Source organism: Homo sapiens, chromosome 1 (genome assembly GCF_000001405.40).
Source record: "Homo sapiens chromosome 1, GRCh38.p14 Primary Assembly".
Classification (NCBI taxonomy): Eukaryota; Metazoa; Chordata; class Mammalia; order Primates; family Hominidae; genus Homo; species Homo sapiens.
In genome coordinates this window covers 179,247,965-179,271,540 of record NC_000001.11, presented here as the reverse complement: position 1 = coordinate 179,271,540, position 23,576 = coordinate 179,247,965, and the positions used below count along the sequence as shown (strand labels likewise).

At 42.1% G+C, this 23,576-nt stretch overlaps 2 pseudogenes, besides 1 other annotated feature; one reads left to right on the top strand and one right to left on the bottom strand.

Annotated features, from left to right (window-relative positions):
* RPL39P11 (ribosomal protein L39 pseudogene 11) lies at positions 259-614 on the top strand (annotated as a pseudogene).
* On the bottom strand, positions 15,460-15,808 carry COX5BP8 (cytochrome c oxidase subunit 5B pseudogene 8; annotated as a pseudogene).
* Positions 20,873-21,045: a silencer, noted in NCBI's record as "fragment chr1:179219631-179219803 (GRCh37/hg19 assembly coordinates)". NCBI's record gives its function as "represses an EF-1alpha promoter that drives an FKBP-Casp9 reporter gene in an ReSE screen in HepG2 liver carcinoma cells and K562 erythroleukemia cells {active_cell/tissue: HepG2 | K562}" and the evidence as "EXISTENCE:reporter gene assay evidence [ECO:0000049][PMID:32094911]".

Below are 23,576 nucleotides of genomic sequence, written 5' to 3'. Positions count from 1 at the left end.
TAGGTGCCTGCCACCACACCTGGCTAATTTTTTGTATTTTTTAGTAGAGACAGGTTTTCCCCATGTTGGCCAGGCTGGTCTTGAACTCCTGACCTCAGGTGATCCACCCACCTTGGCCTCCCAAAGTGCTGGGATTACAGGCATGAGCCACCACGCCTGGCCCACCTTTTATATAAATGTATTTTTTTCAAATTTTATGAAAATTATAAATATAAGAATGTATGCAACATAAACGTATGTTTTAAAGATTAATAATAGGACTAAGTTTTTCACCATGTCTTCTCACAAGACTTTCAGGATCACGTAATTCCTGGCCAAGAAACAAAAGCAAAACTGTCTCATTCCCCAGCGGATTTGGATGAAAACTGGTAATCAGGTACAACACCAAGAGGAGACATTGGAGAAGAACGAAGCTGGGTCTATAAGGATTTGCACATGGGATGGCACACATATCTATTCTGTATCAAGGTCACTATCATCTGACCATATCAAGCTGGAAACATCACCACTATCTGGACAGTTGGACATGTTTAATTGCAAAAATTAGTATATACGAATATGCTCTGCACTACCAGCCTGGTTCAGTAATAAATATGTAAAATCTTTTGTTTGAAAAAAAAGAGATTAGCAATAAACTGAACACTAAATAACTACCACTCAACTTAAGAAACAGAACATTCCAGGCCAGGCGCAGTGGCTCACACCTGTAATCCCAGCATTTTGGGAGGCCGAGGTGGGTGGATCACCTGAGGTCAGAAGTTCAAGACCAGCCTGGCCAACATGGTGAAACCCTGTCTCTACAGAAATACGAAAATTAGCTGGGCATGTTGGTGGGTGTCTGTAATCCCAGCTACTCGGGAGGCTGTGGCAGGAGAATCGCTGGAACCCAGGAGGCAGAGGTTTCAGTGAGCCAATATCATACCATTGCACTCCAGCCTGGGTGACAGACCGAAACAGAAAGAGAAGAAACAGAACATTCCAGAACCTTAACCCTCCGAGTATGCCTCTTCCTGATTGTTTCTCCTGCCTGTTCTCCCTTCCTCAAACCACTGTCTCAAATTTAGGGTTAATCATTCCTTTGTTTTTCTCTATTGTTTACTAGTTTACCACAAATGTAGATATTCCTAAACAATATAAGATAAAGTAGCATAAATAGGTTTGTTCATATTTTTAAATTTATCCAGTGTTACTGGACAATGTTTCAGTTTTTTGTAATTACAAAATGTTTCTGTGTTATTCTAGTGTTGCTAGACATCTTGGTGGTTTTCATTTTTTTTTATAATAAAGAGAGTTTTGTCTCCAGGCACATATGGGAAAGAATTTCCTTAGGGCAAATACCCAGGTGTGAAATTATAAGTCATAGAGTATATAAATCTTCAGCTTTAGTAAATAGTGCCAGTAGCAGATTGTATTTTTGAAAGCTGCTTAGCCTTGCATGGTGGCACATAGCTAATCATGTAGTCCCACTTACTCAGGAGGCTGAGGTAGGAGGATCAACTGAGCCCAGAAGTTCCAGGTTGTAGTGAGCCATCATCATGACACCACACTCCAGCCTGGGCAACAGTGAGACCCTGTCTCCAAAAAAGAAAGAAAGAAAGATGGCCACAAAAGTAACTTTAATCTCACGTGGACTTTTTACAATGTGGCTTTGACACACCTCCCATTAAGACATGGAATCTATATCCCTTTCCTTTGATAGCGGGTGGGCAACTGTTTCAACCCTTAGAATATAGCTGAAGTTATACCATGTGGCTTTCAAGGCTAGTTCATAAAAGGCCATGCAGCTTCTACTTTGTTACATCAAATACTTGCTCTGAAAAGATCTTAGCTCCCTTGTAAGCACTGTAGCAGCCTTGTAAGCACTCTGAGGCCCCCATGTTTTGAGCTCAACCTAGTCCATGTTGAGAGGTCACCTGCAGGGATCCTGAGATAACATGAAGACAGATCCTAGTTAGCCGGGCATAGTGGCTCACATATGTAATCCCAAAAACTTTGGGAGGCCGAGGTGGGAAGATCACTTGATCCCAGGAGTTTGAGACCAGCCTGAGAACATAGGGAGACCTCGTCTCAAAAAAAAAAAAAAAAAAAAGACAGATGCTAGCCAACCCCTAGCTGCTCCAAGTCCCAGATGTCCTATTGTAACTAAAGGAGATTACAGAATTGCCCAGCCAAGTCCTTTCCAATTTGCTGACCCACAGAAAATGTGGTGTGTTATTTTGAGTCTCTAAGTTTGAGGTGGTTTGTACACATCTATGGAACTATAGAACAATACCAAATTGTCTTCCATGGGGGCTGTACCAACTTTCAGTAGCAGTGAAGGGAGCACCTGTTATTCCACATCTTCACCTCTGGCTAGTTTTGGCCTGTCTGGTATATGTGACAGGAAATATGATTCTGGTTTTACTTTGAATTTCCCTGATATCCAGTGACTTTGAGCACTTTCATGTATTTAGTTGACCCTTTGTGTTTTTTTCTTTCACACGGTTATATATATATTACAAATACTTCTTTTAGATTGTCACTTGCCTTTTTCACTCTTTTTATAATGTATTTTGATAAACAGCAGGTAGTGATATTTTCCTTTATGGTTTGAGTTTTTCTGTCTTAAGAAATCCTTTCACCCTGAGATCACAGAGATCTCCCATAATTTATTTAAGAAGTTTTAAAGTTTTACTTTCACATTTGAATCTTGAATCATCCATTTAAAATTTACTTTTGTTTGATATGAGTTAAAAAAAATCTTAATGGATCCAACTGAGTATCTTTTCCTAAACTGATGGTTCTATTTTATGTCAAGTTCCCATAGTGTGGTCGGTTTCTGTGCTTTCTTGTCTGTTCTATTGATTTATTTGTTCATTGTTTTGTCAATACCTCATATTTTCAATTAGTACAACTGAACAATAAGATTCGAAAACCTAGTAGAACATGACTCTCTTCCTGATAGTTCTTATTCACAGATAGGCTATGTCTTTCTATTTAGTCTCCCTTAATGTCTTTCAATAAATGTTGATAGGCTGGGCGCGGTGGCTCACGCTTGTAAGGGAGCACTTTGGGAGGCTGAGGAGGGTGGATCACAAGGTCAGGAGTCCAAGACTAGCCTGGCCAAGATGGTGAAACCCCGTCTCTACTAAAAATACAAAAGAAAAATTACTGGGCATTCTGGCACCTGCCTGTAATCTCAGCTACTTGGGAGGCTGAGGCAGGAGAATCATTTGAACCTGAGGGGGTGGAGGTTGCAGTGAGCTGAGATCACACAACTGCACTCCAGCCTGGGCGACAGAGTGAGACTCCGTCTCAAAAATAAATAAATAAATAAACTTTGATAAATGTCTCCATCAAGATCTTACACATTTTTGTCAGATTTATTCCTGAATATTTAAAAATTTTGTTGTTATAATAAGACTATCACTTAAAAAGAAAGTTTTAATGTGTTTTGGTATAATCTTATATCCAGAAACCTTCCTAATTGCTCTTATTAACTGGTTCATAGATCCTTTTTCAGTTTTTCATGTAGAAAATCATTATCTCTCAAGAATTAGAGTCATATCTTCCTTTCAACTTCTTATATCTCTTATTCATTGCCTTGCCTTATTATACTGGCTAATACCTACAGTACAACGGTGAGTAACAGTGGGGATAGTGGCCATTTTTGTCTGCTTCCTAGTTTTAACAGGAATGCTTCATTTCATCATTAAACACGATGTTTGGAGTATGTATTTTGAAACTTGCTTTTATCAGATTTAGAAGTTCTCTTTTTTACCAAGTTACTAAGAACATATTTTTTTCTGTCTAAAAAGGGGTAATCATATGGTTATTGCTATGTGGCACCTAGCCTCCAAGATAGCCCCCAGTGATTCCTGCCTTCTGTTTTTGTTTTTGTTTTTTTTTTTGAGACGGAGTCTCACTCTGTCACCCAGGCTGGAGTGCAGTGGCACAATCTCGGCTCACTGCAAGCTCCTCCTCCCAGGTTCACACCATTCTCCTGCCTCAGCCTCCCGAGTAGCTGGGAATACAGGCGCCTGCCACCACGCCCGGCTAATTTTTTATTTTTAGTAGAGATGGGGTTTCACCGTGGTAGCCAGGATGGTCTCGATCTCCCGACCTCATGATCGGTCTGCCTCGGCCTCCCAAAGTGCTGGAATTACAGGCATGAGCCACCGTGCCCGGCCGCCTTCTGGTATTAACATCCTCATGTAGTGTCTCCCACATTGTACCAGAATGGGTCTGTGTAATCAATAGAATATGGGAGAAGTGATGATATATAATTAGATTAGATTTTAAAAGACTTTGTGACATAATAGAGATATGAATCAATGGAATTGAATTAGGAATCCAGATATAAACCCTACATTCATAGTCAATTGGTTTTGAAAAGGATGCCAAGATATTTTAATGGGTAAAGAATAGTTTTCTCAATAAATGATTCCGAGACAACTCAACATCCACATTCAAAAGAGTGAAGGTGAACTCCTACCTCACACCATATACAAAAATAATGCAAAATGGATCAAAAACCTAACTGTAAGAGCTAAAACTATAAAATTTAGGAAAAAAACATAGGCCTAAATCTTTGTGACCTTGCATTTGGTGATAGTTTCTTAAATATGACACAAAAAGCAAAAGTAACAATAGGAAACACAGATAAATTGTACCTCATCAGAAGGTACTAGTGGCTGGGCACAGTGGCTCATGCCATTAATCCCAGCACTTAGGGTGGCTGAGGCAGGGGGATCACCTGAAGTCAGGAGTTCAAGACCAGCCTGGCTAACATGGTGAAACCCCGTCTCTGCTAAAAATACAAAATATTAGCCAGGTGTGGTGGCAGGCGCCTGTAATCTTAGCTACTTGGGAGGCAGAGGCAGGAGAATCGCTTGAACCTGGGAGGCAGAGGTTGCAGAGAGCCGAGATCACACCACTGCACTCCATCCTGGGCAACAAGAATGAGACTCTATCTCAAAACTAAAATAAAATAATGTACTAGTATCTAGGACAGGTGTGGTGGCTCACACCTATAATCCCAGCACTTTGGGAGGCCAAGGTGGGCGGATCACCTGAAGTCAGGTGTTTGAGAACAGCCTGGCCAACATGGCAAAACCAGTCTCTACTAAAAATACAAAAATTAGCTGGGTGTGGTGGCAGGTGCTTATAATCCTAACTACTCGGGAGGCTGAGGCAGGAGAATCGCTTGAACCCAGGAGGCAGAGATTGCAGTGAGCTGAGATCGCACCACTGCACTCCAACCTGGGCAGCAGAGCAACACTCTGTCTCAAAAAAGAAGAAAAAAGAAGGTAGTAGTATCCAGAATATATAAAGAACTCTTATTCAACAATAAAAAGACAACCCACTTTTATTTTATTTTATTTTTATTTTTATTTATTTATTTATTTATTTTTGAGATGGAGTTTCACTCTTGTTGGCCAGGCTGGAGTGCAATGGCTCAGTCTCAGCTCACTGCAACCTCTTCCTCCTGGGTTCATGCGATTCTTCTGCCACAGCCTCCCAAGTAGTTGAGATTACAGTCATGTGTCACCATGCCCAGCTAATTTTGTATTTTTAGTAGAGACGGGGTTTCACCATGTTGGCCAGGCTGGTCTGGAACTCCTGACCTCAGGTGATCTGCCCACCTCGGCTTCCCAAAGTGCTGGGATTATAGGCATGAGTTACCACACCCAGCCCCAATTTTAAAATGGGCTAAGGATTGGAATAGACATTTCTCCAAAGAAGATATGCAAATTACCGAAAAGCACATGAAAAGATGTCCAACATCATTAGTCATTAGGGAAATACAAATAAAAACCATAAAATAACATTTCACAGCCACTAAAATGTCTATAATAAACAGACAGTAACAAGTGTTGGTGAAGATGTAGAGAAATTGGAACCTTCTTACATTGTTGGTGGGAATGTAATATAATATAGCCCCTTTGGAGAATAATTTGGCAGTTGTTCAAAAAGTTAAACATAGAGTTACCAATATACATTCATATTCCTTGGGATTTCTCTGAGGTCCAGGTTTAAAGCACCTTCTTCCAGAGAGTATTTGAATTTGCTCTCCCAGGTAATTCTGCCAGGTGGAGCAGTACCAATCTAAGGCCACTTTAAATTTGTATCTAGGGATTTTAGGGATTTGCTTTTGTTGTTGTTGTTGTTGTTGTTGTTTTGCATGGTTAGGAACTTTCATAAAAACATATTTTTCCTCTGACAAAACTTAAGTTGAGACAGACAAGCATCCCTGACAAATCCTGCCATTTTTTTTTAAATTTACCTGCTGAAGTGAAGTATCTTTGTGGGGGGCGGGGGGCGGTTCCCAAATCCATGCAGGGGCTTCCATCCAATCTTGCACCATAAAGGGCTAAGTCTTAGTTTTCTCCCCTGCTCACTGAATCTACTAGAACCCAAGCATTAGGCCACCCATGTAGACAAATGCCCCCAGAGCAAATATTAACATTTGAGTGCACTGTTGATTTCAAGTCTTCCTACCAACTGAGCCATACATATTAAAGCTTTTTGAGTGTGCGTGTGTGTGTGTGTGTGTGTGTGTGTGTAAACACACACACATATGGTTTAATTGGGAGGCCATTAGGCTGAGATGGCTTCAGCACCTTGGGTTCCTACCCAAGCAAACCAAAGTTCAATGTAAATGGCAAAAGAAAACTTAAGCCTAACCAATCAGAAGCCATCAATTAACTTCTAACTAGGGATTTCCACGTTAACCAATCAAATATATTTTATTTGTCTTGCTTCCACAAACACGTCATAAAAGTTTGTCTCTCATTCCCCTTGGATCACTTCACTGCTTGCAGGCTGGTGCTGCCCCACTCATGCATTGCTGAATGCTCAAGTAAACTCATTAAAATATTAATGTGGTCAAGTTTATCTTTTAACCATTTGTATGTGTGTGATGTGTGTGTGTGTGTGTGTGTGCGTGTATTCCATCATTTTTAGGGGTTGCATGCCAGGAGGATTTTTCTGGACACCTAATCTTTCATACTGCCCCAAATGAAAAATCTGACAAAACATATTAATTGTGCAGACATTCACACACCCCCACTAAAAAAATAAAATCTTTAAGTAAACACTACTCTCTGGGAAAATGCTTATCTTTTGATTTCTTTTACCCCCTGGATATTCTTGCATTAATCATGTTCAAGGAACACAGTGGAGGAGTGAAAGGTTGGATTGAAGCCACATTTAAAATAGTCCTAAATGCAAAAATAGGAATATAAGACTATTTGGATTTCCAAACTGTCACTTTTGTGATTCAATAGATTGAAACTCCATGGCAGGCATAGTTCCAATTGGCAATAGTTATTTTTTTCAAGTAGATTCCTTCATTCAAACTGTTGAGTGACTCCTACAAATCTAACACTGGATTAATGCTGCATGGAACAAAGGAAATGATGAAAGACGCAGTTCTACCCTGAAGTAATTTGTAAGCAAATCTCAGAAACATTTCTTGTACGCAAATAATTATGATGTAAAGCAAAATATGACAGGTGCTAAATAAATGGTGAGAGTTCAGAGAGCTAAAGAAGTTAAAAGTCAGAAGCAGTATTTCTAGCTAGGAGTGCAGGTAGAGTGACCAATCGTCCTGGTTTGCTGGAGACTGAGGGATCTCCTGGGATGCAGAACCTCCAGTGAGAAAACCAGGATAGTCCTAAGATAACCAGGACAGTTGATCACCTAATAAAGGCGGATGTATAGAAAGAAGCAGAAAAGGCTTCATACAAGATAGGAGATGGAAGTTGAAAAAGACCTTGTGGAATTAATTGGATTGGATTGGCTACCTTTGTTAATACATTTAACATAAACACAACATTAACTTCCTCCTCTACTTCTCAATAGCAGTCCTAGCAACTGTGTAGTGATTCCATTCTTGCTTCAAAAGACAAAGTTACCAAAAAAAAAATTAGTTTAAATATCTAATTGACTTTCATCTGCAATTCAAGAAACAGGTAACATCTCATCCTACATAAAAGAATGGCGTTTCACGGAGCTGATAAGAGGGGATTGGCTTTATAGGCAAAAAAGCACTGAAGAAAGTAGAAAGATAACAAAAGGGAGATTGGTCTTTCAGCTACTTTTCTTATAGGGTTAAAACAGAGGGAACTTTCTAACATGCTTGGTCAGGTAAACTGGGCCCCTTCTGATTGGTTGCTGTGAATCTCCTGGTTGGTTGGTTTTAACTGACAATTTCAAAGTTCAGTTGATTATATGGCACTTAGTTTCAGTGACTCCATTCTGGTTTGGCCTGGTCTGTTGGGCCAGTGCAGAAGCTCAGTCCAAAACAATGGCCTCCCATAAATTTTATTTAACAGTTGTATTTGCTTTAGATTGTCATACAGGTTGAAATCCTTTATTCAGCCATTGATTTCTGGTTTCACTACTGTACTTGTGTATCCTAGACAGTTTTCTAATTTTCAGTTGCTGTACATCCCTTCAACACTGAGTTAAAAAAGCTTTTTGGAATGCTTCTTCCCCCCAAATGTATTAAATTATAATAGAGTATTTGTGGCAATTATGCCCTTGGGTCAACAATTGGAAGGCTGCTTAGAAACATCAAATTGGTCTTCACTGACTACAGATCCTCATAAGCAATAGCTGACCACGCTTTAAATTAAAGAGGAGAAAAGGTGTTTGCCTACTTGGAATACTATAAACCAGTGCTTCTCAAACTTTAACATACGTACAAACTACCCCGAGTTTCCCCTATCTTGTTAAAATGCAAATTTTGACACGTGGAACTGAGGTTCTTATTTCTAACAAGCTCCCAGCTGATTTCATTGCTATTGGTCCTAGGACCACACTTTAAGCAGCAAGGCTATAAAGCAGACAGGCCCTTTAAGTGACTTGTACCTTCCTAAATTTCCCTGCACCCCCTAAAATTTTTTTACGTTGCTATTAAGTCTGAAATTCCACCAATTACATTTCTGTAAAATGAGCTGTAGATTTATTCACAACTTAATATTAATTCTTTTAATCTAATAGTTTTCCTCATCATATCCACTGAGTTGGGAACTTTTATGTATGAACATTGGTTTTTATAAATAAGGAATTTTAATAATGAGGCACTGTGTACGAAAGAGTGAACAAAACAGTGGGCAGAAGGGGGTTAGAAAGAGGTGGGTGTTTGGCAGCTTGCAAAGTATGATGAAAGCAGAGACACCTGGGGTCAGGGCAAAGGCTTTATGAGGAAGTAGGAGGAGGTGAAGAAAGAGAGGTGTGAGGCTACCTGTACAAACCTCACAGTTTTAGAAGCCTTGCCTTGGGCCAGGCTGAGGAAATCTAACCATCTCAATAAAAACAGCAAGCCTATACCTAACTTTTTATAGAATGGTAGTAAGATCCATGTATATATCAGTAAGGATTATTATTTTTTCTTAATTTGCTTATGCAGTTGTGAAATGCACAGTCATTTTGCTAAATGCACAAGCCAGTTGAGACTGCAGGAAATGTCCTTTAATAAAAATTAAAGATGTCAAGAGAGGATTTAGAGCTCAAGGTAAGACCAATGAATGGCATCACAGAATGATAATGATAAATGGTAAATGAGTTAGAGATCTTTGAACAAGCAGATTTAATTGGATTGCTCAGTGTCATTCAGGTAGTTAATGAAATAGCCTGAACTTGAATACCAAGACTCTTGACTCTTCATCAAGTGCTTTCTTTTTTTCCTTCTAACATCAAATGCTTTTTAAAATACTACACACTAGTTCAGAAGTCTAGGTTAACATTTCCCAAAAGGCTTCATATTTTGGTTTCACTAAGTTCTTTCTAAAAATGTGTGGAAGCAGGCTGGGCGTGGTGGCTCATGCCTGTAATCCCAGCACTTTGGGAAGCTGAGGCAGGTGGATCACCTGAGGTCTGGACTTCAAGACTAGCCTGACCAACATGGAGAATCCCCATCTCTACTAAATATACAAAAGTTTGCCGGGCATGGCGGCACATGCCTGTAATCCCAGCTACTCAGGAGGCCGAGGCAGGAGAATTGTTTGAACCCAGGAGGCGGAGGTTGCAGTGAGCCAAGATCATGCCATTGCACTCCAGCCTGGGCAACAAGAGCAAAACTCCGTCTCAAAAAAAAATAATAAAATAAAACTATAAAATAAAAATGTATGGAAGCATTTTTGTGCTTAGTGATCTTATACTTTAATGGTTCAACTAATTTCCTTGTTGCTGTGTTTCGTTTTTGTTTTTGCTTTTTATGGAACTCATCTGACTGGCACGATATATTTTTTAAGGGATTTGTTTTCATTTCTAGGAGACCCATACAATTTATTGCACATAAAGTCCAAACTGAAATAAATCAATTTATTTTCAGAACATAATCCAGGTGACATCAGGAGCATTTGTTTTGAGAAACAATAAACCCTATTCTCCTGTCTCAAAAATAAGCCCTGTTTTCTTTTGAAATTCCTCCACCTACCATGTGCATACTCCATGTCTGGATTTGGACAGCAAAGGCAGATGTGAAATAGACAATGGAGCCAATTGAGATAGACCTGTGAGTCCTGACCTGGGACATTACCCCACCTGCCAGCTTTACCTACTTGGCTAGGACACACCTTGAAGCACCTGGAAGGTAAATGTGGAACAAATGAAAGATAATACCATGCCATCATGCAGGTCATCAAGCAGTGATATTTATTACCAGAAATGACACAAACTAGTATGTTTCCTTCCCAGGCTCTATCTTACCCTTTATCAAAAATGCATTATGATGTTATACTTTTACACTCCAGTGTGAATTAAACTCAATTTATTGCACTTTCTAAAACAGTTCGGATATTATACCTCAGTGCTACTCTAAGTAACAGTGATGGAAAGACAAGGTCTCCAGTCATATCCGTTATCGTAGAGGGCAAGAAAGCATTGTTTTTGTAGAGAGGAGTTTTCTAGAACCCCTGAAATCACAATGGGTAGAGAACAGAATATTCTGAAATCCCAATTATAGCGTCATAGAACTCTTAGGCAGATTTGTTACTTCATGGGTGTTATTCTTAAGGAGTTATTAAGAGAATCAGAATCTCACAATTAGGATCTCATAATCTTGCAGTTGAATTTACAAAAGAAAACTGCTCACAAAACATTCTTTTCTTTTTTTTTTGAGACGGAGTCTTTGCTTTGTCACCCAGGCTGGAGTGCAGTGGCATGATCTCGGCTCACTGCAGGCTCTGCCTCCCAGATTCACGACATTCTCCTGCCTCAGCCTCCCGAGTAGCTGGGACTACAGGCGCTCACCACCACGCCCGGCTAATTTTTTGTATTTTTTAGTAGAGGCGGGGTTTCACCGCGTTAGCCAGGATGGTCTCGATCTCCTGACCTCGTGATCCGCCCGCCTCAGCCTCCCAAAGTGCTGGGATTACAGGCGTGAGCCACCGCGCCTGGCTGACAAAACATTCTTTAGTGTCAGTATTAGACTCAACACTTGCATGGATGAATCACAAACGTTTCCCATAATAGCAAATAAAATCATAAAATCAAAGAGATTACCTAATACAAACTTGCATTTGACAGATGAAACAAATTTTTATGTTCTTGTATACTTGATGTCCTGCCATTAATGAAATAAGTAGGATAAAAAAAACAAAATATACAGAAACCATAAGAAAGAAAAAGAAGTACGAGCCCAGGCAAATAGCCCAGTTTTGCATTTCATGTTTATTATATCCCTATAATTGTTATCATCCTATAAATTTTCAGATAATTTTGTAACCATTTAATGCAAAGACTTCTTTTTTTTTTTTTTTTGAGACTAAGTCTCACTCTGTCACCCAGCCCCAAGACTGTTTTCTTTTTTTCTGAAATTTAGCTTCAGCTGAGCTGAAACTTAAAGCTAAATTTGCTACCCAGAACTCAATAGTGACTCACTATAGTTAAGGAGAGTATAAATAAAGAAAATAATCATAGGCACCTGCAGGTGCTAAGACAATTAAGAGAAACTATAAATATTATTCACATTGAAATTCATCAGCAACTCAATACAGATGCATGTATTGTTTCTTAAGAAATCACAAAGTAGGCCGGGCATGATGGCCCACACCTGTAATCCCAGCACTCTGGGAGGCGGAGGCAGGTAGATCACCTGAGGTCAGGAGTTCGAGACCAGCCTGGCCAACAGTGAAACCCCATCTCTACTAAAAATACAAAAATTAGCCAGGCACGGTGGTGCATGCCTGTAATCCCAGCTACTCGGGAGGCCGAGAGGGGAGAATCGCTTAAAGCCGGGAGGCGGAGGTTGCAGTGAGCCAAGGTCGCCCCACTGCACCTCAGCCTGGGCAACAAGAGTGAAACTCTGTCGGAAAGAAAGAAGGAAGGAAGGAAGGAAGGAAGAAAGGAAGGAAGGGTGGGCATGAAGTATATAGAATGAGCCAATGTTCAATAAACAGTAGAAAAGAACAGATCTAAGGGAAATTTGCTGTGTTTAAAATTTATACTTTCTTTTTTGCCTCATAAAGGATGAAAATCACTTCTTTTTTCTCTTTTATATATCCTCCCTTTAATTAGTGTTCAGATAGTGTGTATAGTGCTGAGAGTCCTACACTTCAGACACAGAATTCAAATGGAGAAGAAAAATGCAAAGTTCTTGCCAATTTCTAGATGAAGTTTCAGCAGTTTTACTTTTTAGGTACAGTGAAAATGGTTGAAGTTGGCTCAGGGATATATGTTATGCTGATTAAAGACTTACTAGATTTATGATAAAGAATTTCCTTGAATAATTTAAAAGAAAAAGATGCTAATTTCTAGAGATTATTTTATATTTAGTTGATCAAAGCTCTATGTAGCAAAATAATTCGCACTCTCCAACTGTGGCAGATTGTTATCATAATAACTCCTAAAGTATTATGAGTCTCATGAGTCCTCATTTTCATGGTCCATGACATTGCCTCTCCTTCCATCAAAAGGTAGACTCTATTACCCTATGGCCTAGAATCTGGACAGGCCTTGTGATTTGCTTTGACCAATAGGATGTGGCAGAATGATGTTGTGTGAGCACTGGAGCCTGAGCCTGAAGATTCTTGGCAGCTTCTGCCTTTGCTGTTTTGGAACAAAGGTGCCATGTAAAGAAGTTTAAACTGGCTGCTGCTTGCTGAATGATGAGAACCCACATGGAGAGAAAAATCTCAGCCTTGCAATTATCCCCATCAAAGTCAAGGAACAATGAGCCATGATCATGATCTTTAGATTGCATTTTTTTGCTAAATGTGAAATAAATATATTATATAATACACGTGTAAATAGAATAGGTTTTCCCCCGAGATCTTAGAAGAGAATGCCTATAGTATGTTAATAAGCCTTGGTATCATACTATAAAAAGAGCAGGAGGTAAAGGCTAACCATGTTGCATCATTATTTAAAATCCTGACCCGGCACACAACGGCTCACATCGGTAATCCCACAGCACTTAGGAGGACTGAGGTGGGAAGAATACTTTGAGCCCAGGAGTTCAAGATCAAGCTGGGCAACAAAGTGAGACCCCTGTCTCTACAAAAACAAAAGCAAAAATTAGCCAGGCATGGTTGCGTGCAACTATAGTTCCAACTACTCAGGATGCTAAGGTGGGAGGATCCTGATACACAATGAAGTTTGAGAACCACTGAGCTAAGAAAACAGCTATTGTTAGCTAATGAAATACTCAAGTGGGCAGCCCCAAAAGTTGATCAGTCCACTCTTGCTATTATTTATTTATTTATTTATTTATTTTTGAGACAGAGTTTTGCTCTTCTTGCCCAAGCTGGAGTGCAATGGCGCGATCTTGGCTGACTGCAGCCTCCACCTCCTGGGTCAAATGATTCTCCTGCCTCAACCTCCTGAGTAGCTGGGATGACAGGAGCGTGCCACCATGCCCGGCTAATTTTTTTGTATTTTTAGTAGAAACGGGGTTTCACCATGTTAGCCAGGCTGGTCTTAAACTCCTGACCTCAGGTGATCCGCCCACCTCGGCCTCCCAAAGTGCTGGGATTACTATTCTGGCTGGATATCGAGATAGTGGGCAGTTTCCTTGCCCCCTAGGGAAGGCTTGCCTAGCATGAGGCTACCCTGTGCAACCTCACAACAATTATAGAAACTCTATCCTATAAGACTGTGATGCTCTTACTTGCCTCAAAGTCTTCCCAGACTCATTAGCCAATACTGTGCTTGACAATCACTTGGCTTTTGATTACCTCTTGGCAGAACAAGGTGGGATATGTGTAGTCACTAACTCTTCCTGTTGTGCTTTGGTAAATAATTCAACATTAATAGAAAAAGACATTAAATTTATCTATGACCAGGTCAAGTGGTTGCACCAATTTACGAAAAGGGCACAAATGCTCAGGGAATATGGGAGATCATAAAATAGGCCATCCCTAATCTCACCTGGTTTTTACCCTTCCTGGGCTCTTTAGCTGCCATCCTACTTCTCTTGATTCTGGGCCCTGTCTCTCAAACTGTCTGGTCTCTTTTGTGTCTAAGTAAATTGAAGACGGCAGGGCGTGGTGGCTCACGCCTGTAATCCCACCACTTTGGGAGGCTGAGGCAGGTGAATCACTTGAGGTCAGGAGTTTGAGACCGGCCTGGGCAACATGGTGAAACCCTGTCTCTACTAAAAATACAAAAATTAGCTGGGCGTGGTGGCACACACCTGTAATCCCAGCTGCTGGGGAGGCTGAGGCAGGAGAATCACTTGAACCCAGGAGGCGGTGGTTGCAGTGAGCTGAGATCGCTCCACTGCACTCCAGTCTGGGCAACAGAGTGAGACTCTGTCTCAAAAAAAAAAAAATAAATAAATAAAATAAATAAATAAATAAAGTGAATTGAAGCCATACAGGGATATAAACAGCTAGATTTGCACCCAGGAGATAACCAGACCTATCTAAGACTAGTTAGGAAAAAATTTCACTAATCTAATAGGCCCCATGTAAACACCCAAACTCAGCTTGAAGAAGCTGTAGAAGACAGACCTTCATTCCACAGCACTCCTCAAGAATGAGGACTGAGGCCAGACACAATGGCTCACACCTGTAATCCCAGCATTTTGGGAGGCTGAGGCAGGCAGATCACTTGAGCTCGGGGTTCGAGACCAGCCTGGGGAACATGATGAGACCCCCCCCCCACCACCACCATCTCTACAAAAAAAATACAAAAATTAGCTGGGTGTAGTGACATGTACCTGTGGTCCCAGCTATCCTGCAGGATGAGGTGGGAGAATCGCTTGAGCCCAGGAGGTTGAGGCTGCAGTGAGCTATGATCATGCCATTGCACTCCAGCCTGGGTGACAGAGCAAGACCCTGTTTCAAAGAAAAAAAAAAGAGAAAGAATGAGGAGTGAATGTACAGAAAAAGGGAGATTTGTGTTTTTTGTTTTTTTGTTGTTGTTTTTGGGAGAAGAGGCCAATGCAAGTCTTTATTGGAAAGAAAAGACTTTATAGCACATTTGAGTAACTTAACACAGAGGCTCCATGGGCCCCCTGATGGGGCAGGTTCCACAGTTAGGATATCACTGGCTCTTGCCTTTGTGTAGCCAAAACTAGATGATGGCACTGTTGTCCTCTTCATAGATATAGCCCACTATTCACTTATTGGTGATGGTGGGGACCAAATTAGGGTTCCCTGTGACTGAAGCTGCCTTTGGGGGTATTATACTGTATGGGTCCAGTCCCTTCCGTGCAGCCATCATGAGCTCCCTCTCCAACCCAGCCGCCTTCTTGTCATCAGTAAGAACACCACCTCCAGATGCCATGGAGTACACCATGGCCACTCCATTGGAATTGCGGGCCCTCAGGGCCTGTGTGGCCAGCGCTCTGGTCTGCAAAGCATCTTGAAGCCATCACACCTGTGACAAGCAGTAGCACTGGGAGATTTGTCACCTGGTATAACATGTAGGTGACATAGGTGAATTCCTACTGTATCCAAACTCTTGTTTATCTTTAAGAAACAGGATGCCTGCAATTAAAAGTTCCCTTTGTAACCAGACTAACTGAGACTGGTTAGAACCAAGATAGCCAACCAAATGACTTCAAGAAGACCTCAGGCTTCATTATAATCTCACTTCCATGCTAAATGACACTCCCACTAGTGCCATGACAGTTGACAATTGCCAAGACAGTGACCAGAAGAAGCCATAAAAGCACAAAAAAGAAGGCAGCACTATGGTTCTGGGAAGCCCACCACCCATTTCCAGAAAAAATGTGAGTATTTCTCCCCTTGCTTTTAAAGTCCAACCCCATTATTAGAGAAGCCCTAAATTTTAGTCCCCTCACCTTTCACTTATTGAGACATTGATTAGTGAGCCAGGCTCCCACTTCTGGATTCCATGGCCATTGAATAAAGCCTGCACTGGTTGACACTCACTTTTAGTTTTGTATATTGACTTCATGACACCAAATAGTAAAGTACCACATCTTTATAGGGACCAGCTTTGTTGTTCATAAAACTGGCAACCCAGATGGGACACTGGACTAGATTAGGGAAGGCCTATTTGGGAAGGCCCTTTGCCTCACCGCAGACCTGGCAACAGGCACCTGACAGCTGGAACCAGCTTTGTCAGTAACATTGTGAAGATTAAATGTAGACATAAACTCTTAGGACAGTACATGGCACAGGATAGGAATAGTCTGATTTTTTAATTAATTTATTTATTTTTTGAGATGGAGTCTCACTCTGTCACCAAGGCTGGAGTGCAATAGTGTGATCTCGGCTGGGGCAGGCTCAAGTAGGCTGCCTCAGCCTCCCGAGTAGCTGAGATTACAGATGTGCACTGCCACGCCTGGCTAATTTTTGTATTTTTAGTAGAGATGGGGTTTCACCATGTTGGCCAGGCTGGTCTCAAACTCCTGACCTCAGGCAATCCGCCCACCTCGGCCTCCCAAAGTGCTGGGATTATAGGTGTGAGCCACCATGCCCAGCTGAATAGTCTGAATTTTAGCCATTATTAGAGATCTGGGGAACTCTTTTTTCCTTTATGTGTAGAGGAGTTGGCCTACTGAGGAACTCTACCACCAATCAGTCTGTGCTATGACTGAGTTTCTGGAGTCAGTCTACCTCTAAATGTGTTCATGGACATAGAGTAGCAAGCATGGCTTCATGTATCCCTATACAAAGTGTTTTCATTTCATTTCCTATTGCTGCTGCAATGAATTCTGGAGGCTCTAGGGGAGAGCCTGTTTTCTTGCCTTTTCCATCTTCTGTAGGCGGCCTGCATTCCTTGGCTTGTAACCCTGCTTTATTCCAGGCCTCTGTTTCCATCGTCATACCTCCTCTTCTTATTCTCAATATCCTGTCCCTCCCCTTATAAGATTCATGTGATTGCCGGGCACGGTGAATCATGCCTGTAATCCTAGCACTTTGGGAGGCCAAGGCGGGCAGACTGAGCTCAGGAGTTCGAGACCAGCCTGGGCAACATGGTGAAACCCCATCTCTACTAAAATACAAAAAAAATTAGCCAGGAGTGGTGGCGTGCGCCTGTAGTCCCAGCTACTCGGGAGGGTGAGACAGGAGAAGTGCTTGAACCTGGGAGGCAGAGGTTGCAGTGAGCTGAGATTGCACCACCGCCCTCCAGTCTGGGTGACAGAATGAGACACTGTTTCAAAAAAAAAAAAAGATTCATGTGATTACTTTGGGCCCATTGGCTAATGCAGGATTATCGCCCCATCTCAAGATCCTTAATTTAGTCACATCTACAAAATCCATTTGACCATGTAAGATAACATATTCTCAGGTTCTAGAGATTAGAAGGTGGGCATCTTTGATGAGGAAGTGTCAGTTTATGCTTACCACACTGGACAAGGAGTTTATCTCGGTTGTGGTGGACACATTTCTCTGAATCATACAGAGGTCATGTTAGCCACTTTCTCACGGATGGCTCTTTTCCCGAAGAATAACAGTGGGAAAGAAAAATGCCAGCCTTTGAAAAGACAGAGAGACAGAGGAGTATACCATTTTTCTTATGTGAGTGAAGAAATGGTGATAGGAATGGTTACTTTCTGAAAATATGCAAGGACTATCTAAAACCCTGGAATGTTAAGGGCTTGATGACATAGAAGTCATAGTAGCAACTCCAGCCTCAGCTGGAAGTAGGCTGAAGTAGGCTGCATGGCCTCTTTACACTTTCGCATATGCTTCCAGATCCCACATGTCAGTGACAAATGATCGTGTTATATAGCAAAACACGTAAGAACACAAGCTCTGGAGTCAGCCAAGACCCACATCCTTGCTCCGCTAGCTCTGCTATTTACTAATTGGGTGACCTTGGATGACCTGCTTAACTTCTCTAGACTAAGTTTTCTTGACTGTAAAATGGGGATAATGAGAGGTCACAGGTTTGTTATTAGGATTACATGAGATAATGTATGCAAAGTGCTTAGCATAGTGTCTGACACAGTAATTACTATTCAGTAAATTATTATTATTATTATAACTGGAATAAATATGAGGAAAGATAAAGTAGAACTGCACCATCTAACACAACAACATATTCTATAATCCCCTATAAATCTCCCCCCAAAGTCCCACTCATCATAGAAACTACTCTCCTAAATTGCTCTTCTTTGTCTCTTTGGAAACTCCTATCCTTTCTGGGTCTCTTCTTCTCACTTTTGGAATAATTTCTGTCAGACATCTTCTGTATGGCTTCTCATTTAGGCTCATTCCATTCTGTTTCTCTGCCCATTTAACTAATGAGTATAACAAAGGCACAATATTGAGTCATATAGATATCCCTTTAAAAGAGCTGAAAGTGGCAGAAACAAGTCTGTGAATACTTACCCTGGTCTCTTTTTGTCCTATCAACTTCTGTTTTTTTGTTTTGTTTTGTTTTGTTTTTGAGACACAGTTTCACTCTGTCGCCCAGGCTAGAGTGCAGTGGCACGATCTATCTCGGCTCACTGCAACCTCTGCTTCCTGGGCTCCAGTGATTTTCCTGCCTCAGCCTCCGAGTAGCTGGGATTACAGGCTCCCGCCACTGTGCCCGGCTAATTTTTGTATTTTTAGTACAGATGGGGTTTCACCATGTTGGCCAGGCTGGTCTCGAACTCCTGACCTCAGGTGATCTGCCCGCCTTGGCCTCCCAAAGTGTTGGGATTACAGGTGTGAGCCACCATGGCTGGCCATTTCTTTCTGTGTTGTTGTTGTTGCTGTTTTGTTTTGTTTTGTTTTTTCCGAGATGGAGGCTCACTTTGTCACCCAGGCTGGAGTGCAGTTTGTGCAATCTCGGCTTACTGCAACCTCTGCCTCCTGGGTTCAAGTGATTCTAGTGCCTCAGCCTCCCAAGTAGCTGGGGTTACAGGCATGCGCCACCACGCCCAGTTAATTTTTATATTTTTAGTAGAGACATGGTTTCACCACATTGGCCAGGCTGATCTCGAGCTCCAGTTCTCAAGTGATCTGCCCACCTCGGCCTCCCAAAATGCTGGGATTACAGGACAGTCAACCTCATTTTTTATCCTCATGCTCTTCCAGCTTACAACCTTGTTCAGGTGTGCCAAATGTTTGGAGAACCATATAAATTGAGCTTATTTATATTCAGTTTGGAATTCTGAAGCATTTATTAAACTCTTTCATCTATGTTGACTGGGGAACAATGCATCTGCTCAATAGTGACTGCTCTGGAAAAGTCCTTGTTAAGCTACTAGCTGCAGGTTTCTTCTATCCAAGGAGGACATCTAGAGGCTAACTGTGATGTGTAGCCTTTCCAGGAATGCTTTCCAAATTGTTTTCTTCACAGATCCAATCATAAATCATAAATCACATACCCAGTAAGTCTAACTAGAATAAATATTAAAGTATAGCTTATCTTAAGGGAAGAAACAGACCTAATGACGTTACATTTATTTTCCAGGCACAGTAGAAGTACATTAAGGGTACAGAAGAACTTTTAAATGTGATGAGTTGGGAGAAGAGCCATAAAGACAATTTGGGGGCTGGGCGCACTGGCTTATGCCTGTAATCCCAATACTTTGGGAGGCGGAGGCAGGTGGATCACTTGAGATCAGGAGTTCGAGACCAGCCCAGCCAACATGGTGAAACCCCCCTCTCTACTAAAAATACAATAATTAGCTGGGCATGGTGGTAGGCGCCTGTAATCCTGGCTATGTGGGAGGCTGAAGCAGATGAATGGCTTGAATCCAGGAGGTGGACGTTGCAGTGAGCTGAGATGGAGCCACTGCACTTCAGCCTGGTCAACAAGAGCAAAACTCCATCTCAAAAAAAAAAAAAAAAGGATTTGGGACAGGTGAAGAAATTTGAGCATGTTGGTTGATGTGACTGAGTTAATATTGATTTTCTTAAGTGTGTTAGGACCCTGTGCTTCTGCAGGACAGTATTCCTGTTCTTGGGAGATTCAAGCTGGGATATTTAAGAATAATGTAGGAAGACATCTGCAACCTACTTTCAAATGTTTTAACAAAAAGGAGATGTGTGTATACATATGTAGAGAGACAAAGCAGGTGTGGCAAGAGGTCATCAGTTGGTAAATCTAAGTGGGGAGAAATGTGAGTATTCATTACACTTTTCTACAACTTTACGTTTTTTCCAAATGAAAAAAGTTAGAACAGGCTGGGAATGATGGCTCATGCCTATAATCCCAGCACTTTGGGAGGCCGAGGCCCGTGGGTCACCTGAGGTCAGGAATTCAAGACCAGCCTGGCCAACATGGTGAAACCCTGTCTCTACTAAAAATACAAAAATTAGCCGAGCATGGTGGTGGGCACCTGTAATCCCAGCTATGTGGGAGGCTGAGGCAGGAGAATGGCTTGAACCCCAGAGGCGGAGGTTGCAGTGAGCCGATATCATGCCACTGCACTCCAGCTTGGGCGAGTGAGTGAGACTCCATCTAAAAAAAAAAATCAGAACATAAAAGCAATGAGCAAAGTCACTTAAAATATTACCTGAATTTGTATCTCCACCGTTGTGACATCTCTTATGCTGTGTTTTGTTCCTGTGTTGAAATTGGACTTTTTTTTTTTTTTTTTTTTGTGATGGAGTCTCACTGTGTCACCTAGGCTGGAGTGCGGTGGCACGATCTCAGCTCACTGCAACCTCCACCTCCCAGGTTCAAGCGATTCTCTTGCCTCAGCCTCCTGAGTAGCTGGGATTACAGATGCATGCCACCACACCCAATTGATTGATTGACTGATTAATTTTATTTATTTATTTATTTTTGAGATGGAGTTTTGCTCTTGTTGCCCAGGCTGGAGTGCAATGGCATGATCTCGGCTGACTGAAACCTCTGCCTCCTGGGTTCAAGTGATTCTCCTGCCTCAGCCTCCCGAGTAGCTGGGATTACAGGTGTGCACCACTATGCCCGGTTAATTTTGTATTTTTAGTAGGGACAGGGTTTCTCCATGTTGGTCAGGCTGGTCTGGAACTCCCAACCTCAGGTAATTCGCCCGCCTCAGCCTCCCAATATTTTTTTATTTTTAAAGATGGAGTCTAGGCCGGGCGCGGTGGCTCGCGCCTGTAATCCCAGCACTTTGGGAGGCTGAGGTGGGCGGATCACCTGAGGCCGGGAGTTCACGACCAGCCTGATCAACATGGAGAAACCCCATCTCTACTAAAAATACAAAATTAGCCAGGGGTGGTGGCACATGCCTGTAATCCCAGCTACTCGGGAGGCTGAGGCAGGAGAATTGCTTGAACCCAGGAGGCGGAAGTTGCGGTGAGCTGAGATCACGCCATTGCACTCCAGCCTGGGCAACAAGAGTGAAACTTTGTCTCAAAAAAAAAAAAAAAAAAAAAAGATGGAGTCTTGCTCTGTGGCCCAAGCTAGAGTGCAGTGGCGTGATCTCAGTTCACTGCAACCTCTGCCTACCTGGTTCAAGCAATCCTCCTGCCTCAGCCTCCCGAGTAGCTGGGATTATAGGCACCTGCCACCATGCCTGAATAATTTTTGTATTTTTAGTACAGGCAGGGTTTCACCACGTTGACCAGGCTGGTCTCAAACTCCTGATCTTGTGATCCGCCTGCCTCGGCCTCCCGAATTGCTGGGATTACAGGCATGAGCCACCGCGCCCAGCTGAAATTGGAGTTCTTATGTCTTCCAATCTCACTGTATTGTAATCACTCACATAGTTATTCTGTGCTCCTTGTATCACTCAGCATACAGCAAACACTCACAAATATTTGCTAATGCTAGAAAAAAAAAGTGATAGAAAACTTCACAGCTCCCCACTGTGCCATGCTCCCTCTGGTCTTCCTTAGGGCGGGGAGAATGCTTCCTTCCTCTGTTTCCCCTTCCTCCAGATTCCCACGTTGGGGGAAGCCTTCCTGGCCCTGCTTCTGTGCTCTTAGGTCATTTCCCCTTCTTTAGCACTCATTGCACAGTATATTCTAATTGTCAATTTTCTTTACTGGATTCTCCAACCACACTACAGTTTCCTTGAGGAGAAGGGAATTTTGTCTGCCTTTTTTACAGCTGTTACCTTAGTCCCTGATACAGCAGCTGGCACACAGTAAGAGCTTAATACTTAGTGAATGAATGGCCAATGCTAGGGTGACCAATGTTTTAAAGAGCCAAACTGGCTGGGCATGGTGGCTCATGCCTGTAATCCCAGCACTTTGGGAGGCTGAGGCAGGTGGATCACCTGAGGTTGGGAGTTCGAGACAAGCCTGACCAACATGGAGAAACCCCGTCTCTACTAAAAATACAAAATTAGCAGGGCGTGGTGGCGCATGCCTATAATCCCAACTACTCAGGAGGCTGAGGCAGGAGAATCGCTTTAACCCGGGAGGTGGAGGTTGCGGTGAGCTGAGATCACGCCATTGCCTGGGCGGAGCAAAACTCCGTCTCAAAAAAAAAAAGAGACAAACTGGAATACAGCCATACTAGAAACTCCCCCAAATACATGTATAGCTATACACATATATGTTGTTAATTTAGCATAAAATATGAACACAGTGTTTATTTGATATCAAAGGTGTTTTGATTATTATGGTAAAACAATTTCTTAGAAAGAAGTTCAAAGTCCTCCTTTTCAGGAGGGACTCTTTATTGAGTTAATCTTTATATTATTATTATTATTTTTGAGACAGGGTCTCACTCTGTTGCTCTGGCTGGAGTGCAGTGGCACGATCATAGCTCACTGCAGCCTTGACCTGCTGGGCTTAAGCAATCCTCCCACCTCAGCCTCCCAAGCAGGGAGTATAAGCATGAGCCACCACACTCAGCTAATTTAAAAACATTTTTTGTAGAGATGGAGTCTCATTATGTTAGCCAGGCTGGACTTGAACTCTTGAGATCAAGTGTTCCTCCCGCCTCGGCCTCGCAAAGTGCTGGGATTACAGGTGTGAGCCACCGTGCCCAGCCAATCTTTGTATTCTTTATTACAGTTTTATACTCACTTCCCATTTAATACTCTTTTCTTTTCCTTCCTTCCTTCCTTCCCTTCTCTCTCTCTTCCTTCCTTCTTTCCTCCCCTCTCTCTCTTCCTTTCTTCCCTCCCTTTCTTTCCTTCCTTCCTTCCTTCCTACCTTCCTTCCTTCCTTCCTCCCTCTCTCTCTTTCCTTTTTCTTTCTTTCTTTCTTTGACAGGGTCTCATTCTGTCACCCAGGATGGAGTACAGTGGCGCGATCTCGGCCCACTGCAACAATCTCGGCCTGCTG